This window comes from Homo sapiens, chromosome 2 (assembly GCF_000001405.40).
Source record: "Homo sapiens chromosome 2, GRCh38.p14 Primary Assembly".
NCBI classification, from domain to species: Eukaryota; Metazoa; Chordata; class Mammalia; order Primates; family Hominidae; genus Homo; species Homo sapiens.
The window spans coordinates 38,812,367-38,828,561 of NC_000002.12; the positions used below are offsets into that span (position 1 = coordinate 38,812,367).

The 16,195-nt window shown below is 41.7% G+C and overlaps 1 protein-coding gene across 8 annotated transcripts in view, besides 1 other annotated feature; it reads right to left on the minus strand.

Annotated features, from left to right (window-relative positions):
- The window catches only part of DHX57 (DExH-box helicase 57), a 78,206-nt gene that overhangs the window by 14,638 nt on the left and 47,373 nt on the right, over positions 1 to 16,195 (minus strand). For 6 of the 8 annotated variants that reach the window (NM_001329963.1, NM_198963.3, XM_011533154.3 and 3 more), the window contains 8 exons: positions 15,974 to 16,070; positions 14,150 to 14,323; positions 13,481 to 13,681; positions 10,627 to 10,903; positions 6,683 to 6,778; positions 6,511 to 6,594; positions 3,155 to 3,289; positions 1,455 to 1,529 (listed from right to left, as the gene is read on the minus strand). In NM_001329963.1, the coding sequence (NP_001316892.1) occupies positions 1,455 to 1,529; positions 3,155 to 3,289; positions 6,511 to 6,594; positions 6,683 to 6,778; positions 10,627 to 10,903; positions 13,481 to 13,681; positions 14,150 to 14,323; positions 15,974 to 16,070 (1,139 nt within the window). Of the gene's footprint in view, positions 1 to 1,454; positions 1,530 to 3,154; positions 3,290 to 3,730; positions 3,820 to 6,510; positions 6,595 to 6,682; positions 6,779 to 10,626; positions 10,904 to 13,480; positions 13,682 to 14,149; positions 14,324 to 15,973; positions 16,071 to 16,195 lie in introns of those variants that run through there. The other 2 variants (XM_047446268.1, XM_047446269.1) reach the window with 2 other exon arrangements.
- Positions 15,321 to 15,615: an enhancer, noted in NCBI's record as "tiled region #4728; HepG2 Activating non-DNase unmatched - State 15:Elon, and K562 Activating DNase matched - State 5:Enh". NCBI's record gives its function as "activates a minimal TATA promoter and a strong SV40 promoter by Sharpr-MPRA in HepG2 and K562 cells {active_cell/tissue: HepG2 | K562}" and the evidence as "EXISTENCE:reporter gene assay evidence [ECO:0000049][PMID:27701403]".

Consider the following 16,195-nt stretch of genomic DNA (forward strand, 5'->3'; position numbering starts at 1 on the left):
AGTTAAGGCTTTGAAAAATGATTCAGTATTCTGCCAAATTGAAACTCTCTGGGGGAAAATGGTGCCTTGTTAGGGATGGATAATCAAAACTCAGGTAAAAGTCCAAGAGCACACTCAAGTAGGGTTTCCAGAAGGCTGGCCACAGGTGGTCTTATGGCAAAGCACTGATTTTTTATTTTTATTTGAGACGGAGTTTCGCTCTAGTCGCCTAGGCTGGAGTGCAATGGTATGATCTCGCCTCACCACAACCTCTGCCTCCCGGGTTTAAGCGATTCTCCTGCCTCAGCCTCCTGAGTAGCTGGGATTACAGGCATGCACCACCACGCCTGGCTAATTTTGTATTTTTAGTAGAGATGGGGTTTCTCCATATTGGTCAGGCTGGCCTCGAACTCCTGACCTCAGGCGATCCGCCCGCCTCGGCCTCCCAAAGTGCTTGGATTACAGGCGTGAGCCATCGTGCCTGTCCCTTATTTACTTGTTTGTTTGTTTGTTTGTTTTTGAGACAGAGTCTCGGTCTGTGGCCCAGGCTGGGGTACAGTGGCATGGTCTTGGCTTACTGCAACCTCCGCCTCCTGAGTTCAAGCAATTCTCCCGCCTCAGCCTCCTGAGTAGCTGGGATTACAGGCATGCACCACCACACCCAGCTAATTTTTGTATTTTTAGTAGATACAGGGTTTCACCATGTTAGCCAGGAGGGTCTTAAACTCCTGACTTCGTGATCTGCCCAACTCGGCTTCCCAAAGTGTTGGGATTACAGGCGTGAGCCACCATGCCTGGCTATTTTACTTTTTGTTCAGAGTAGAGAGTGTAAGATAAACTGTAGTTGAATCAAGTTTCCAACTAACATAGAAAGTTAGTTATATATAGGTTGGCCGACTGACATTTATGTCTATTTTAATTTTTGGAATATCATATGTCAGAAGGATTAAAAATTTTATACAATAAATGTGTTATTGAATAATGTATCCAAACAGATTTTGGGAACTGAAGGATTGAAAATGTATACTAAGTTTTTTTTTTTTGAGATGGAGTCTCCATCTGTCACCCAGGCTGGAGTGCAGTGGCGCAATCTCGGCTCATTGCAAGCTCCGACTCCCGGGTTCATGCCATTCTCCTGCCTCAGCCTCCCGAGTAGCTGGGACTACAGGTGCCCGCCACCATGCCTGGCTAATTTTTTTTGTATTTTTAGTAGAGATGGGGTTTCACCGTGTTAGCCAGGATGGTCTCGATCTCCTGACCTCGTGATCCGCCCGCCTCGGCCTCCCAAAGTGCTGGGATTACAGGCGTGAGCCACCGCACCCGGCCGAAAATGTATACTAAGTTTAAAAGGGTGTGCGTGTGTGCACACATGCGTATATATCTCTTTAAGATGATTAATATGCACATCTTAACTTACATCACTTGGCTACAAATCAAACAAAAAATGGAAAGATCTAGGAAAAATGTTTTGTTACCTGCACTACATTTGGATACAAAGCAGCACACAGCATTGCTGATATCAGCTTGGGGTTCTCAGCATTTGAGTTTGCCTATGAGAAAAGCACAGCATTAATTAACAAGTGATATGGCTATTTCTTTTTTTTCTTTTTGAGATGGAGTCTTGCTCTGTCACCCAGGCAAGTGTGCAGTGGCGCCATCTCAGCTTACTGCAACCTCCGCCTCCCAGGTTCAAGCGATTCTCCTGCCTCAGCCTCCCGAGTAGCTGGGATTACAGGCATACACCGCTATGCCCGGTTAATTTTTGTATTTTTAGTAGAGACAAGGTTTCACCATGTTGGCCAGGCTGGTCTCCAACTCTGGACCTCAAGCAATCTGCCCACCTCAGCCTCTCAAAGTACTGAGATTACAGGCGTGAGCCACTGCGTCTGGCTCTAATATGGCTATTTCTGTCTGTGCTGTAGGATTTACCGTTTTATTATATTTGATCTCTATCTTAAAGCAAAAAAAAGAGCACCTAATTTCTATCTCTTTGCTAGAAAAATTATTTCTAAGTAAAAAAACAAATCTACTGGACCACAGTCACATTGGACCCACTCCAAGGAGCCTACAATGACTTTCTAGACCTTTGCAAAGCGTTACAAAGCCAGTGTTCCTGAGTATAAATGGAGAAAAAAATTATGGTTCATGAGATGTTCAGAATCTCCAGAAAGTGCTAACTGCACTCGGAACACAGGAGCATCAGGTTCATCTTACAGAAGTGCTCTTCCTATAGTTATAGAAAAAGCTGTCTTTTGTTAGAAAAAATGCTGGCCTGATTTGAGAAAATTCTACTGGAAGTCTATTCTATCTCTTATGAATTTATCAAGAAGCAGCATGAAATTTAAAAACCAAAAACAACAGCAACAATGAGCAGAAAACCCTGTTTTTTTTTTTGAGACAGAGTTTCGCTCTTGCTGCCCAGGCTGGAGTGCAATGGCGCGATCTCGGCTCACCGCAACTTCCACCTCCCGGGTTCAAGCGATTCTCCTGCCTCAGCCTCCCGAGTAGCTGGGATTACAGGCATGTGCTACCATGCCTGGATAATTGTGTATTTTTAGTAAAGACAGGGTTTCTCCATGTTGGGCAGGCTGGTCTCGAGCTCCTGACCTTGAGTGATCTGCCCACCTTGGCCTCCCAAAGTGCTGGGATTACAGGCATGAGCCACCGTGCCCAGCCCCCTCTATTCTTATGAGTGTTAGCTGACACTTAAAAAAATTTTTTTATACTTTTTTTTTTTTTGAGACAGGGTTTGGCTCTGTTGCCCAGGCTAGAGTGCAGTGTCTCAATCTTAGCCCACTGCAACCTCTGCTTCCTGGGATCACATCATTCTCCCACCTCACCCTCCCACATAGCTGGGAAGACAGGTGGTACACCACCATGCCTGGCTAATTTTTTTGTAGAGAGATGAGGGATTTCACCATGTTGCTCTGGCTGGTCTCGAACTCCTGAGCTCAAGCAATCCACCTGCCTCAGCCTCCCAAAGTGTTGGGATTATAGGCACGAGCCACCGTGCCAGATCAGCTGATATTTATTTGTGCGAAGCAGAAAATCAAGAATGCCATTAACCCACTGCTCAAAGGCTTAAGTGAAGAAGAATGTCTACAAGTGTTCCCAGGTTAAGATTGTATTTAGGTGCTAATTAAAGAGAAATGAGAACCAACTCCACATTCTTTACCTCTTCTCCTGTGGCATCTAAGACACCATCTCCTCCTTGGGCCCTTTTCTCAATTTCCCTTGCTCTGAGCCCTTCCCTTGCAAACCCTATATCCGATAACAGTTCCGTGAATTGTCGTTTGAGGCTGGCCATTTCCTGAAAGAAGTGGAAAAACCTTTAAGCAAGGGCATCAGCATAACAAAGTGTTAAGTCTTACAAAAATGAGTGATTATAAAAATGCATTATTTCAGGGGGTAGCAATGAGGCTCAAGTGGATTCATTCCTCAGGTATGAAGAGGATCTTGTCTGGTCATTTCCAAGAAGCAGCTTTCACTTACGCAAACTGGCAGGCAAACTGAAACGGTTATGCAGAAATGCAAAAATTCAATAAATCCAAGGATCATTTATTTAACTCTAGATTACAATTTTAAACACTCTCATTGGATTTTGGGTAGGCCTGATTTTCCACGAAATTCTTAGGACAGCAAAAAATGCTGTTTGTTTTGACTGGAATTCCAACTCCAAGTGCTGCGGCACTGTCTACTACCTAGCTTTTCCTACTTGCATTTTTGCTCCTGTCCTCTCAGTTCCTTACTCAGGCCTAGAGTGGTTCGTGCTCTCAGTGGAACTCAGCAGAATGTTTCCTCTTTCTCCTTCATTATGGTCTTGCTGGCTCATCTCTTTTCCTAGGAATAGGGACATCATTAAGTGATTCAATATTTTTTTTTTTTTTGAGACAGAGTCTTGCTCTGTCATCCAGGCTGGAGTGCAGTGGCGCAATCTTGGCTTTCTGCAACCTCTGCCTCCTGGGTTCAAGTGATTCTCTTGCCTTAACCTCCCGAGTAGCTGGGGCTACAGGTGTGTGCCACCACGCCCAGCCAATTTTTGTATTTTTAGTAGAGACGGAGGTTTCACCATGTTGGCCAGGCTGCTCTCGAACTCCTGATCTCAGGTGATCCGCCCACCTTGGCCTCCCAAAGCGCTGAGATTACAGGCATGAGCCACCACGCCCGGCCATGGTTTAAGATTGAGATGCTCCTTTTAGTGGCTGAGCACAAATGTGAGAAAGAAAGCACAAACTTCTTTTTCTTGTGGCTACTGTTCTCACATAGGCTGCACATCAGACAAAGAGAAGGAAATAATAATCATTCAAGGAACTGAAAGCTAAGCAACACTACCCTGTCTCTCAATGATGGTTTAAGTATTTTCTTGGAATGTCTCAAGTATACATGGATAACTAGAATATAATTAGGAGTTAAATATACCGCAGTTTCTATTTCATGACAAAGTTTTAATTGAAATCTTAATAAAAACAATCCTACAATCTAAGTTGAAGTTTAGTGAAAAGATGCAACTCTTGTTTGATGGACCTCATAAGTCACAGCAAAATCTACACATATCCTAATGAAAAAAAAATTTAGTAGGAAATGTAATTTAAAAGAAATATCCTCATCTTATATTTAAGCATCTTAATGACTTGAGAAAATATTTCTTATTGCCCTGTACATATAAACACAGCCCCCCACCCACTTTTGATTAGTGATTCTCAGCCTCCAAAGTAGCTGGGACCACAGGCGTGCACCATCACGCCTGGCTAATTTTTATATTTTTTTGTAGAGATGGGGTTTCGCCATGTTGCCCGGGCTGGTCTCGAACTCCTGGGCTCAAAGGTTCTGCCTGCCTTGGCTTCCCAAAGTGCTGGGATTATAGGCATGAGCCACTGCGCAGGGTCCCAAAATCTTTGAGTAAAACATGCTTTGCAAAGATGCGTGCCATCATTATTTTGGCTTCTCATACCACTTTGGAATTTATTTATTTATTTATTTATTTTTTGAGACAAAGTCTCCCTCTGTTGCCCAGGCTGGAGTGCAATGGCACAATCTCAACTCACTGAAACCTTCATCTCCTGGGTTCAAGCGATTCTCATGCCTCAGCCTCCCGAGTAGCTGGGATTACAGGTATGAGCCACCATGCCCAGCTAATTTTTTGTATTTTTAATAGAGATGGAGTTTTGCTATGTTGGCCAGGCTGGTCTTGAACTCCTGGCCTCAAGTGATCTGCCTCCCTCGGCCTTCCAAAGTGCTGGGATTACAGGTGTGAGCCATAGTCCCTGGCCTCATCACTTTGGAAGGGCACCTAAAACACTGTTGCAACAGGAGACAGAAGCCCTGTCTACATTATACAGAAGATAAGACATTTTTTATTTTTATTTTTTGAGGCAGGATCTCCCTCTGTTGGCCTAGGCTGGAGTACAGTAGGGCATTCATGGCTCACTGCAGTCTTGACCTCCCAGGCTCAAGTGATCCTCCCACCTCAGCCTCTGGAGTAGATGGGATTACAGGCCCATGTCACTAGGTCTGGCTGATTTTTGTATTTTTTGTAGAGATGGGGTTTTGCCATGTTTCCGAGGATGGTCTCAAATTCCTGGGCTCAAGCAATCGTCAGCCTCTCAAAGTGCTGGGATTACAGGTATGAGCCACCAAGCCCGGCTAAACATTTTCTTGTATACTCATTATATTCACATAGTAGGTTCTGATAGATGTAAGAAAAATTAACAAAATCTGGTTCAGTATTAGTTCTTTGGTTTTGGGGAGAGGGGAAGGGGATTAGAGATGGCCATGGACCCCTCTGAAAAGCTGATGAAAGCTATGGTCCGCCTCTCCAGAATAATGCACATATGTATAAGCATACAATTTTGTATACAATTTCAGGGGCTTAGGGATTCAGGTTAAGAATGCCTGGTGTAGCCCGGTGTGGTGTCTCACACCTGTAATCCCAGCACTTTGGGTGGCCAAGGTGGGCGGATCATGAGGTCAGGAGTTCCAGAGCAGCCTGGCCAGCATGGTGAAACCCCATCTCTACTAAAAATACAAAAAAATTAGCTGAGCATGGTGGCATGTGCCTGTCGTCCCAGCTACTCAGGTGTCTGAGGCAGGAGAATCACTTGACCCTGGGAGGCGGAGGATGCAAGTGAGCCGAGATCGCACCACTGCATTCCAGCCTGGGAGACAGAATGAGACTCTGTCACAAACAAACAAGCAAACAAACAAACAAACAAATGAAAAAGAATCCCTGGTGTAATTACTGAAAAAACTGACTTCCAGTAAGCAGCAATCTTACTGCCTATATTCTACCCTATCTTCCGCATAAGTAAACAAAAATTCACCACAAAGAGGAAAAGGAGGTCAGTGGAAAGGTTCAGCACAGAAAGCCTGATGCCACAGTGCGGGAGTCCATTTTACACGGCTGGTAAGGCCAAACATATTCCAGAAATAACATTTGCAATGTTAAGACAGGACACATGAGACAAAGTCGCAGCACCCTCTGGTGAGCTACTCTAATAAAAAAATGAAGAAAAAGCCACAGACACAACTCACCTGCAGAACTCTTCCAGACAAGAAGTTTTGTCTGCAGTAATTATAACTTGCACGCACGCCTTCTTTTGTACTTAGCTGCCATCCCTAAATTTTGGAGAAAATCAAACTGAACTTACTCAGTCTTCAGTGCCAACACTGGTAATAAAACTAAGCTATTAGGTTATATACTTACCTTATACGCTTGTAGAAGGGCCAGATAATCACTGTTTGCGAATGCAAATTCCAGCTTTTTCTGGTTAGCTTCTTCTTTTTTATCCCAGGGAGATACCTAAAGGAGAGAGGAAAATCAGATTTAAAGAACACTTTTTTTTTTTCAAAGACAGGGTCTTGTTCTGTTGCCCAGGCTGGAGTGCAGTGGTGCGATCATAGCCCACTGCAACCTTTATCTCCCAGGCTTAAGCAATCCTCCTGCCTCAGCCTCCCTGGTAGCTGGGACTATAGGTGTGCCCCATCAGGCCAGCTAATTTTTTAAAATTTTCGGTAGAGACGGAGTCTCACCATGTTGTGCAGGCTGGTCTTGAACTCCTGGGCTCAGGCAATTGGCCCACCTCGGCCTACCAAAATGCTGGCATTATAGGCATGAGCCACCACACCAGGTCCTACAGGACACTTTTTATCTGAGGTTTCAAATGGCATTTTCCCATTGCTAAAGCCAGATGCCTTGGGAAAGGATTTTGTGTGGAAAAAGTGTAATCAGTGGGTCAGCTAATGAAAGGCAATTATGACGGTAAATGGCAAGCTCACAGTCTTTGCTCTGTCAAGTCTGCCTGCCCACCCAAAATAAGCTCTTCTGGGTCTTTTAGTTCCAAGTGGCAAGAGTCATCAAAGAGCCACTCATTCTAAAGCTATATCTAAAACCTAACATTCTGTTATCTGGGTTCTTTATTTTACAGATTCTTATTCGTCTTCTACGTTTGAGTCTCCCTTGCTTCTATACCCATAACTAGTGTTTTACTCTTATTTATTGTTTTACTTGAAAATCTACACTGGGAAGAATCCTCTTATTTTATTACAAATGTTTACAAGTCTTCCTTTTCCCTACAAATGTGTAAAATCAGCAGGGAAGTTAATTTTCACCACTTTACACATACCGATTCATTAATCCAATAATAATATTTCTCTACCTTCTCAGGCTCTAAAGGTATCAGCATGAGCTGCAGTAGTTTCTCATGGCAATCTAAACCAATGCCCTAGTTGCAACACCACTGAAAATCATTCTAAACCAACCATAGTGCTTCTCTCTAATTTTTGTATATTTAAATAATCTTATAACTAATACAATAGCAATAAAATTTTAATTTCTACTTGAAAGTAAAATTCCTTCCTTTTTAGACAGGCCAGTGGGAAAAGGATTGCACGTGGGAGATTAATATTATGTTTACAGAGTCCAGCAAAGGGCAGGTGCTCAGTTTTGGCCAAGGATGACATCAATATTTCTTTTCTCTCTCTCTTTTTTTTTTTTCTTCAGATCACTAAACGAAGGCAGACATCAACATTTCTGGATTCAGGGTCCAGAGTGCTCACCATTACACCATGGAACCTCAAACCAGACATCAACGTCTCTAATGAGTCTTTCTTTATTCCAATAAAAGAAAATGGTCAGTGAGAGGTTGGTTTAGATGATTTGGGAAAAGGTAATAGAAGTCCTGTTCACAAGGTTGATACTGTGTACCCCCAGCAAGTTATGTCACCTCTTCTGGTCCTTGGTTTTATCATTTCTTTTTTTCTTTTTTTAAAGAGTAGTCAAGTCCCAACAATCAATTGAGATAACTCACTACCACTGGACCAGCTGGTTTATAATTTGTTGTTAAGTCAGGGAGCTGGACTAAGATATTTTTGCAGATCTGTGAGTTTATAATTCGATGACATATAACATTAAAACTGAAGAAACTGAATACATCCATTTATTCTCCGAACTATATAAAATAAGCCATGATAAAAATAAAGGCAGATTGCTTATCATGAAAGGACCAGTAAAAAAAGATTTTTTTTAATGAAGGAAAAAAAAAAAAAAGGCAGACTGACACTCTACCCAACAGCAAAAAATCCTTTCTTCTCAAGTATACGTGGAACACCCTCCAGGACAGACCATATGCTTGACCATAAAACAAAGCTCAATACATTTTAAAGAGGATTGAAATAATACAAATATGTTCTCTGTTCACAGTAGACTGAAATTAGAAATAATGAAAAAAAAATTGCGAACTCACAAATATATAGAAATTAAACAACCCATGCCTAAATAATCAAAGGGTCACAGGAGAATAAAAAGGAAAATCAGAAAATACTTCCAGATGAATGAAAAGGAAAACCAAAATGTGTGGGATGCAGCTAAAATAGTCCTTAGAGAAAAACTGAGAGCTATACATGCTTATATAAAAAAGAAAGATCTCAAAACAAGAAACTAAACTTCTACTTTAAGACACTAGAAAAAGAAGAGCCACCTAAACCTTAAGTAAACAGAAGGAAGGAAAGAATAAAGAGCAGACAGTAAAGAAATAAAGAACGGAAAAACAATTGAAAAAAATTAATAAAACTGCCAGGCATGGTGGCTCACACCTGCAATCCCAGCACTTTGGGAGGCTGAGGCAGGCAGATCACAAGGTCAGGAGTTAGAGATCAGCCTGACTAACATGGTGAAACCCCGTCTCTATAAAAATACAAAAATTAGCTGGGCATGGTGGCACACACCTGTAATCCCAGCTACTCGGGAGGCTGAGGCAGGAGAATCGCTTGAACCTGGAAGTCGGAGGTTGCAGTGAGCCAAGACTGCACCATTGCACTCCAGCCTGGGCAACAGAGCGAGACCCCATCTCAAAAACAAAAAATAAAACCAAAAGTTGATTCTCTGAAAAGACAAAGAAAATTGACAAATCTTTAGCTAGACTGACCAAGAAAAAGAGAGGGAAAGCTCAAGTTACTAGAATCAGAAAAAGGGACATTATTACTAGCCTTACAGAAATAAAAAGGATTATAAAGGGACATTATGAATAATTATATGCCAATAAATTAGATAAGTTAGACAAAATAAAATTCCTAGAAAAAAATAAACTATCACAACTGACTCAAAATGAAATAGACAATCTGAAAAGTCCTAGAACTAATGAAGAGATTGAATTAATAATAAAACAACTACCCACCAACACTCCTGCTCCACCACCCCCCGGCCCAGGTGGCTTTATACCACTGAATTCTACTAAACATTTAATGATAATTTTTTTTTTTGAGACGGAATTTCGCTCTTGTTGCCCAGGCTGGAGTGCAATGGCGCGACTGGCTCATTGCAACCTCTGCCTCCCAGGTTCAAGTGATTCTCCTGCCTCAGCCTCCCGAGTAGCTGAGATTATAGGCATGCACCACCATCCCAGCTAATTTTGTATTTTTAGTAGAGACGGGGTTTCTCCATGTTGGTCAGGCTGGTCTCAAACTCCTGACTTCAGGTGATCCACCTGCCTCGGCCTCCCAAAGAGCTGGGATTACAGGCGTGAGCCACCACGCCAGGCCCTAAAGAAGAATTAATATTAGTTGTTTTTTTTTTTAGACGGAGCCTTGCTCTGTCGCCAGGCTGGAATGTGGTGGCGCGATCTCGGCTCAGCAACCTCCGCCTCCCAGGTTCAAGCGATTCTCCTGCATTAGCCTCCCAAGTAGTTGGGACTACATGTGCACATCACCACGCCTGGCTAATTTTTTGTATTTTTAATAGAGACAGGGTTTCACCATGTTGGCCAAGCTGGTCTCGAACTCCTGACCTCAAATGATCTGCCCGCCTCCGCCTCCCAAAGTGCGGGGATTACAGGCATAAGCCACCGCGCTTGGCCTGGATTACTTTTAATAAGTTATATCTCTAGTTCTCAGTCTTTAATTGGAGGGTGGATCTCTTTGAGGATTGGATGACATTGCTCCCTAAAAAATCCTTTTGTTTGTTTTATTTGTTTTTGTCTTTTCAGAAATTTATTTTTGACCTTCTCCCTCCCATGCAGATGTGCCCTAAAAATTCACAGCTAACATACAAGCAAATTTTTAGGGGGCTCACATGCCCTTGATTTCCCCCATGGTCCCCTTAGAGACCTATGGTCCTCTTAGAGACTCCAGTTTAGATGAATGTTGTTTACTTACAAACGGAGACTTAAAAGCCAAACTGGCAGCAATGGTGAGAGCAGGATCCAAACAGCGGAAGATAGACCCAAACAACATTAGTTTGCCAATTCTCACATCCACGGGCAGAGAGGCCAAATGATACCCAAGAGGGGTCAATCTTTCATCTGGAGTTAATGCTCCTAAGTCTCGTAATCGTATTTTTGAGGCACGAAGAGAATCGGTGTGTGGAGGTTCAATGAGCCGAGAGAACACAGACTGGAGATTATGAGCACTAAACATCTCTAAAATTTTAATTCTGAAAAGGAAACAAAATAATAATTTGTCAATTTTATTTCTGGTGGGATGACACAGAGGAATAATTTCTTTTGTGAGTGATAATAATTTACAAGTTTAAATAAAAAATTTTAAAATCTCATGTTTTCTACTTCTACCAATAAACCACAAAAACACTTTCAGATTCTGAAACTTATTCATATTCAGAACAAAATTCTCTCTATAAACTTTCAAAATGCTTCTTTCCATAACAGTGGGATCAAATTATGAAACAGAGTTCATGACAAAAGATAATAAGTGTTGGCAAGGATGTGGAGAACTTGGAACCCTGCACGTTGTTGGTGGGAATGTAAAATGATGCAGCCACTATGAAAAACAGGATAGAGATTCCTCAAAAAACTAAAAATAGAACTACCATATGATCCAGCAACCCCACTTCTAAGTATACATCCAAAAGAATTGAAGTCAGAATCTTGCAGAGAGGCCACGCGCAGTGGCTCACGTCTGTAATCCTAGCACTTTGGGAGGCCGAGGTAGGTGGATCATTTGAGGTCAGGAGTTCGAGACCAGCCTGGCCAACATGGTGAAACCCAGTCTCTACTAAAAATACAAAAATTAGCCAGGCATGGTGATGTGCACATGTAATCCCAGCTACTTGGGAGGCTGAGGCAGGAGAATCACTTGAACCCGGAGGTGGAGGTTGCAGTGAGCCAAGATCATGCCACTGCACTCTAGCCTGGGTGACTGAGCAAGACTCTGTTTCCACAAAAAAAAAAAAGAATCTTGCAGAACAGAGATACTTGCACTCCTGTGTTCACTGTAATATTATTCACAATACCCAAGATGTGGAAACAACCTAAAAGTTCATTACAGATGAGTGGATAAAGAAAGTGCAGTATATATACATACAGTGGAATACTACTCAGGCTTAAAAAAGAAAGAAATTCTGCAATATGCAACAGTATGGATGAAACCTTGAGGACATTATGTTAAGTGAAATAAGCCAGTCACAAAAAGACAAATGCTGGATGGTTCTACTTGTATGAGGTATCTAAAATAGTCAAACTCACAGAAGCAGAGTGGAATGGTTGCCAGGGGCTGGACATGAGGGGAAAATGGAGAGTTGCAGTCCAATAGGTATAAAGTTTCAGTTTTGCAAAATGAGTAAGTTCGAGAGCTCTGCTGTACAACATTATGCCTATAGTTAACGGTACTGTGTTGTAAAATTAAACATTTGCTAAGAGGGTAGATCTCATATTAAGTATTCTTACCATAATAAAAACTGGACATGATTAACTTAGATAGTTCTGACTGCTATACAATTAAAGGTATTTATGAAAAAGGTTTAAACGATCCACTTATTCCTTCTCACATCTGAAGTTGCAGTCATTATTTATATATTTTTATTTTTTGGGGGGGTATAGAGTTTCATTCTTATTGCCCAGGCTGGAGTGCAATGGTATGATCTTGGCTCACTGCAACCTCCACCTCCCGGGTTCAAGTGATTCTCCTGCTTCAGCCTCCTAAGAAACTGGGATTACAGGCGTGCGCCACTATACCTGGCTAATTTTATATTTTTTTAGTAGAGATGGGGTTTCACCATGTTGTCCAGGCTGGTCTTGAACTCTTGACCTCAGGTGATCTGCCTGCCCCAGCCTCCCAAAGTGCTGGGATTACAGGCATGAGCCACCACACCCAGCCCAAAGCTGCAGTCATTGTTTATAAAATTAATCTGCATTGTGTCCTGCCTTGTGATAGCTCTTCAAAAACTAGTGTTTTAAATTATGAACTTCATTCAGAAAAAGAGTTCTCATTTTAAAAAAAAACAAATTATGAATATCGGCAACTTAGAGAAAAGTGCAACATAAACAAAAAATTTTATTTACTTCACATACAGCTCCTTTTTAAGTTGCCAATCTATATACACACAATTTTACATTTTTATTAACATGTATATTTTTGGTACCTAGCCTTTTCTCACTTAATGTAGTTCACTTTAAGACGTGAATTGACAGTAATCCACTTACTTAAATTTCATTTTTATTTTATTCATTTATTTAATTTTTATTTTTTGAGATGGAGTCTCACTCTGTTGCCCAGGCTGGAGTGCAGTGGCACGATCTCAGCTCACTGCAACCTCTGCCTCCTGGGTTCAAGAGATTCTCCTTCCTCAGCCTCCCAAGTAGCTGGGATTACAGGTGTGTGCTATCACACACAGATAATTTTTGTATTTTTAGTAGAGATGGAGTTTTGCTATGTTGGCCAAGCTGGTCTCGAACTCCTGACCTCAGGTGATCCACCTGCCTCAGTCTCCCAAAGTGCTGGGATTATAAGCATGAGCCTCCATGCCCGGCCCTACATATGTACTCTTAAGCTCTGTTTTAGGGCCATGCTCTGCAATGTAAGAGATCTTTATGTGCAGAAATTTAAAAGGAATGGTAAAGGCAACACTAAGGATATCTTTCTTCACAAATAAATGAGATTATTGGTGGTCATTCTTAGCCAAATATCTTCTAGAAGTAAAAGGAAAACATGGAACTTAATAGAGTGAGAAACATTTAGACCTTTTGGAAGCAAAACACAAAAAACCAGATGTCACCTTAGACACAGCTGTTCCAATGGCACTCTTTGTATTTCTGGTAGCTGTTGTTTTAAAAGCTGGTGATTGTAGTGATGGCTAGTGAATAAATGGAAGCAGACCCCAGATGCAACACGGCCTGCTCGGCCTTTCCTTTGTAGAGCATTAGCTTGAGATACAAAGGTGTCCTCTAGACTTTCCATCCCTTTGCTGGCATCATATCTATAAAGAAAAAGAAAATATAAATTGAGTCATTTTATAAAAACATGGCCAAGACTGCTTGCTATGGACAGAATAGATGAACCAGCTTCCTCCTGTAGAGGGACACAGTGCCCTGTATATTCTGGGATAGTTGAGCCCCTGGTAGGAGCAGCTAGTGCTGATTTAAGTGGCATCAAGTGCAGAGTTTCCCAAACTACACAGTTTCTTTATTCAACCCCTTTTCATACAAGCACATATAAAATCACATGACAAAAAGAGAGAAAAAGCAATTCATTACTTTTCATCCCCATTTGATGTTAAGGTCCATGGTCCTGGCTACACAATCATTCACACATCCACGTACAGTTTTCACAAAGTATTTTTTCATACAGTAATCCGTGTAGCTTAATAGCATTAGCCACTAACAACGGTGTCTCCCTAAATGAAGCATTTTTAGCCCCTCTCTTACATCACCACAAGACGGAATACCTCTTTTCTTTCATTTTCCCAGAATCGATAACATAGACAACATCATCGATGGTTATGGATGTCTCAGCAATGTTGGTGGAAATTATAATCTTAGTTACTCCTGCAGGAGGTTTTACAAACACAGCCTGCTGCTCTTCACTGGATAAAGATGAATGAAGTGGGTGAATAACACATCTGGAAGGAAATAAAAGCACATGAAGTATTCTAGCACCTAGCACCGAAACTAGATTACAGTAGGTGAATTTCTACTAAAACCAACAATATGACTTCAGGTATTAGCAACTTCTCCACAACCTGTCCTCAGAGCTCAGCTCTTCTACATAGTAAAGTCTTGGCCGGGTACGGTGGCTCACACCTGTAATCCCAGCACTTTGGAAGGCTGAGGCAGGCGGATCACCCGAGGTCAGGAGTTTGAGATCAGCCTAGCCAACATGGTGAAACCTCGTCTCTACTAAAAATACAAAAATTAACCAGGTGTGTTGGTGGGCACCTGTAATCCCAGTTACTCGGGAAGCTGAGGCAGGTGAATCACTTGAGCCCAGGATGCAGAGGTTGCAGTGAGCTGACATCCTGCCATTGCACTTCAGCTTGGGCGACAATAGTGAGACTCCGTCTCGAAAAATAAAATAAAATAAAATAAAATAAAAGGTAAAGTCCTTTCTGATTTTTACAAAATATTTACTTAGTTCTAGGAACCAAAAACCTCATACCAACTTGGGAAAAATGTTGGAGTGTAATTCAGTAGTAAATAATGAAGAGGAATAAATAATTGATATTCTACAACCAACAAGCCTAGTGCAAACTAACCAGCAAAGAATTATTCTTCCTTTAAATACAAGATGAGCCTGTAACCCCAGCTACTTGTGAGGCTGAGGCAGAAGAATCACTTGAACCTGGGAGGCGGAGGTTGCAGTGAGCCGAGATCACGCCACTGCACTCCAGCCTGGGCCACAGAGCGAGACTCTGTCTCAAAAAAAAAAAAAAAAAAAAATATATATATATATATATATATATATATACACACATACATATATATACACATACACACACACACACATACATACACACACACAGAGAAGACAGGCAATGACAATGATGTAACCTCAGAAACTTCATTCTTACATTTTAAGGGAGTGTTCGTTTGTCAAATAGTTTTCCCCTTAAAAATGAAGACACACCCAGTGTGTCTTGCTCCTGGAATAGGAACTATTGAAGATGATTTTCTCTCATAATGGTAGGACTTCTTTGTTGTTACTAATGCTGCCTTTCCCCCACCTTCCCCCACTATCTGGGGCTCTGACATCTAAAATTACATGCAAATTTGCTGAGTCACTATGCTAAGTGAAGAGAATTTTTTTGAAACGGAGTTTCACTCTTGTTGCCCGGGCTGGAGCGCAATGGTGTGATCTCAGCTCACCAAAACCTCTGCCTCCCGGGTTCAAGCTATTCTCCTGCCTCAGCCTCTTGAGTAGCTGGGTTTATAGGTGCCGGCCACCACACCCAGCTAATTTTGTATTTTTAGTAGAGATGAGGTTTCTCCACGTTGGTCAGGCTGGTCTCCAACTCCTGACCTCAGGTGATCCGCCCGCCTCGGCCTCCCAAAGAGCTGGGATTACAGGCATGAGCCACTGAGCCTGGCCAATATTTTTCTTTAATAAAAAGGGAATAACTGATTTCCTGCAGCAAATAGGTTTGCTCATTTCCAGCTGGCATAAACAAATGTATGCTCGAAGACTGGTGCTCTTCCAGGGTCTAAAGAGGGTGATGATATCTTTAGAGGTAACTGCAATGGATGATTAAGAATATAGAAAGCAATTAGCTTACCGATTACTACGTCTGTTGTTGAAAAGAGAATTAGACTGTAGCTGTTCATAAAGCATTTTGATTTCTGCTAGTCCTGGTAAAAATACAAGTATAGCACCTGGGTATATAAAAAGAATCAATATGTGGGTAAGCATAGGCACAGAAAAGAAACAAGAAAAATTTTTTTAAAAAAGAATATGATAAATGAAGTAAATGAAAAACTAATATAGATTATAAAGCTGT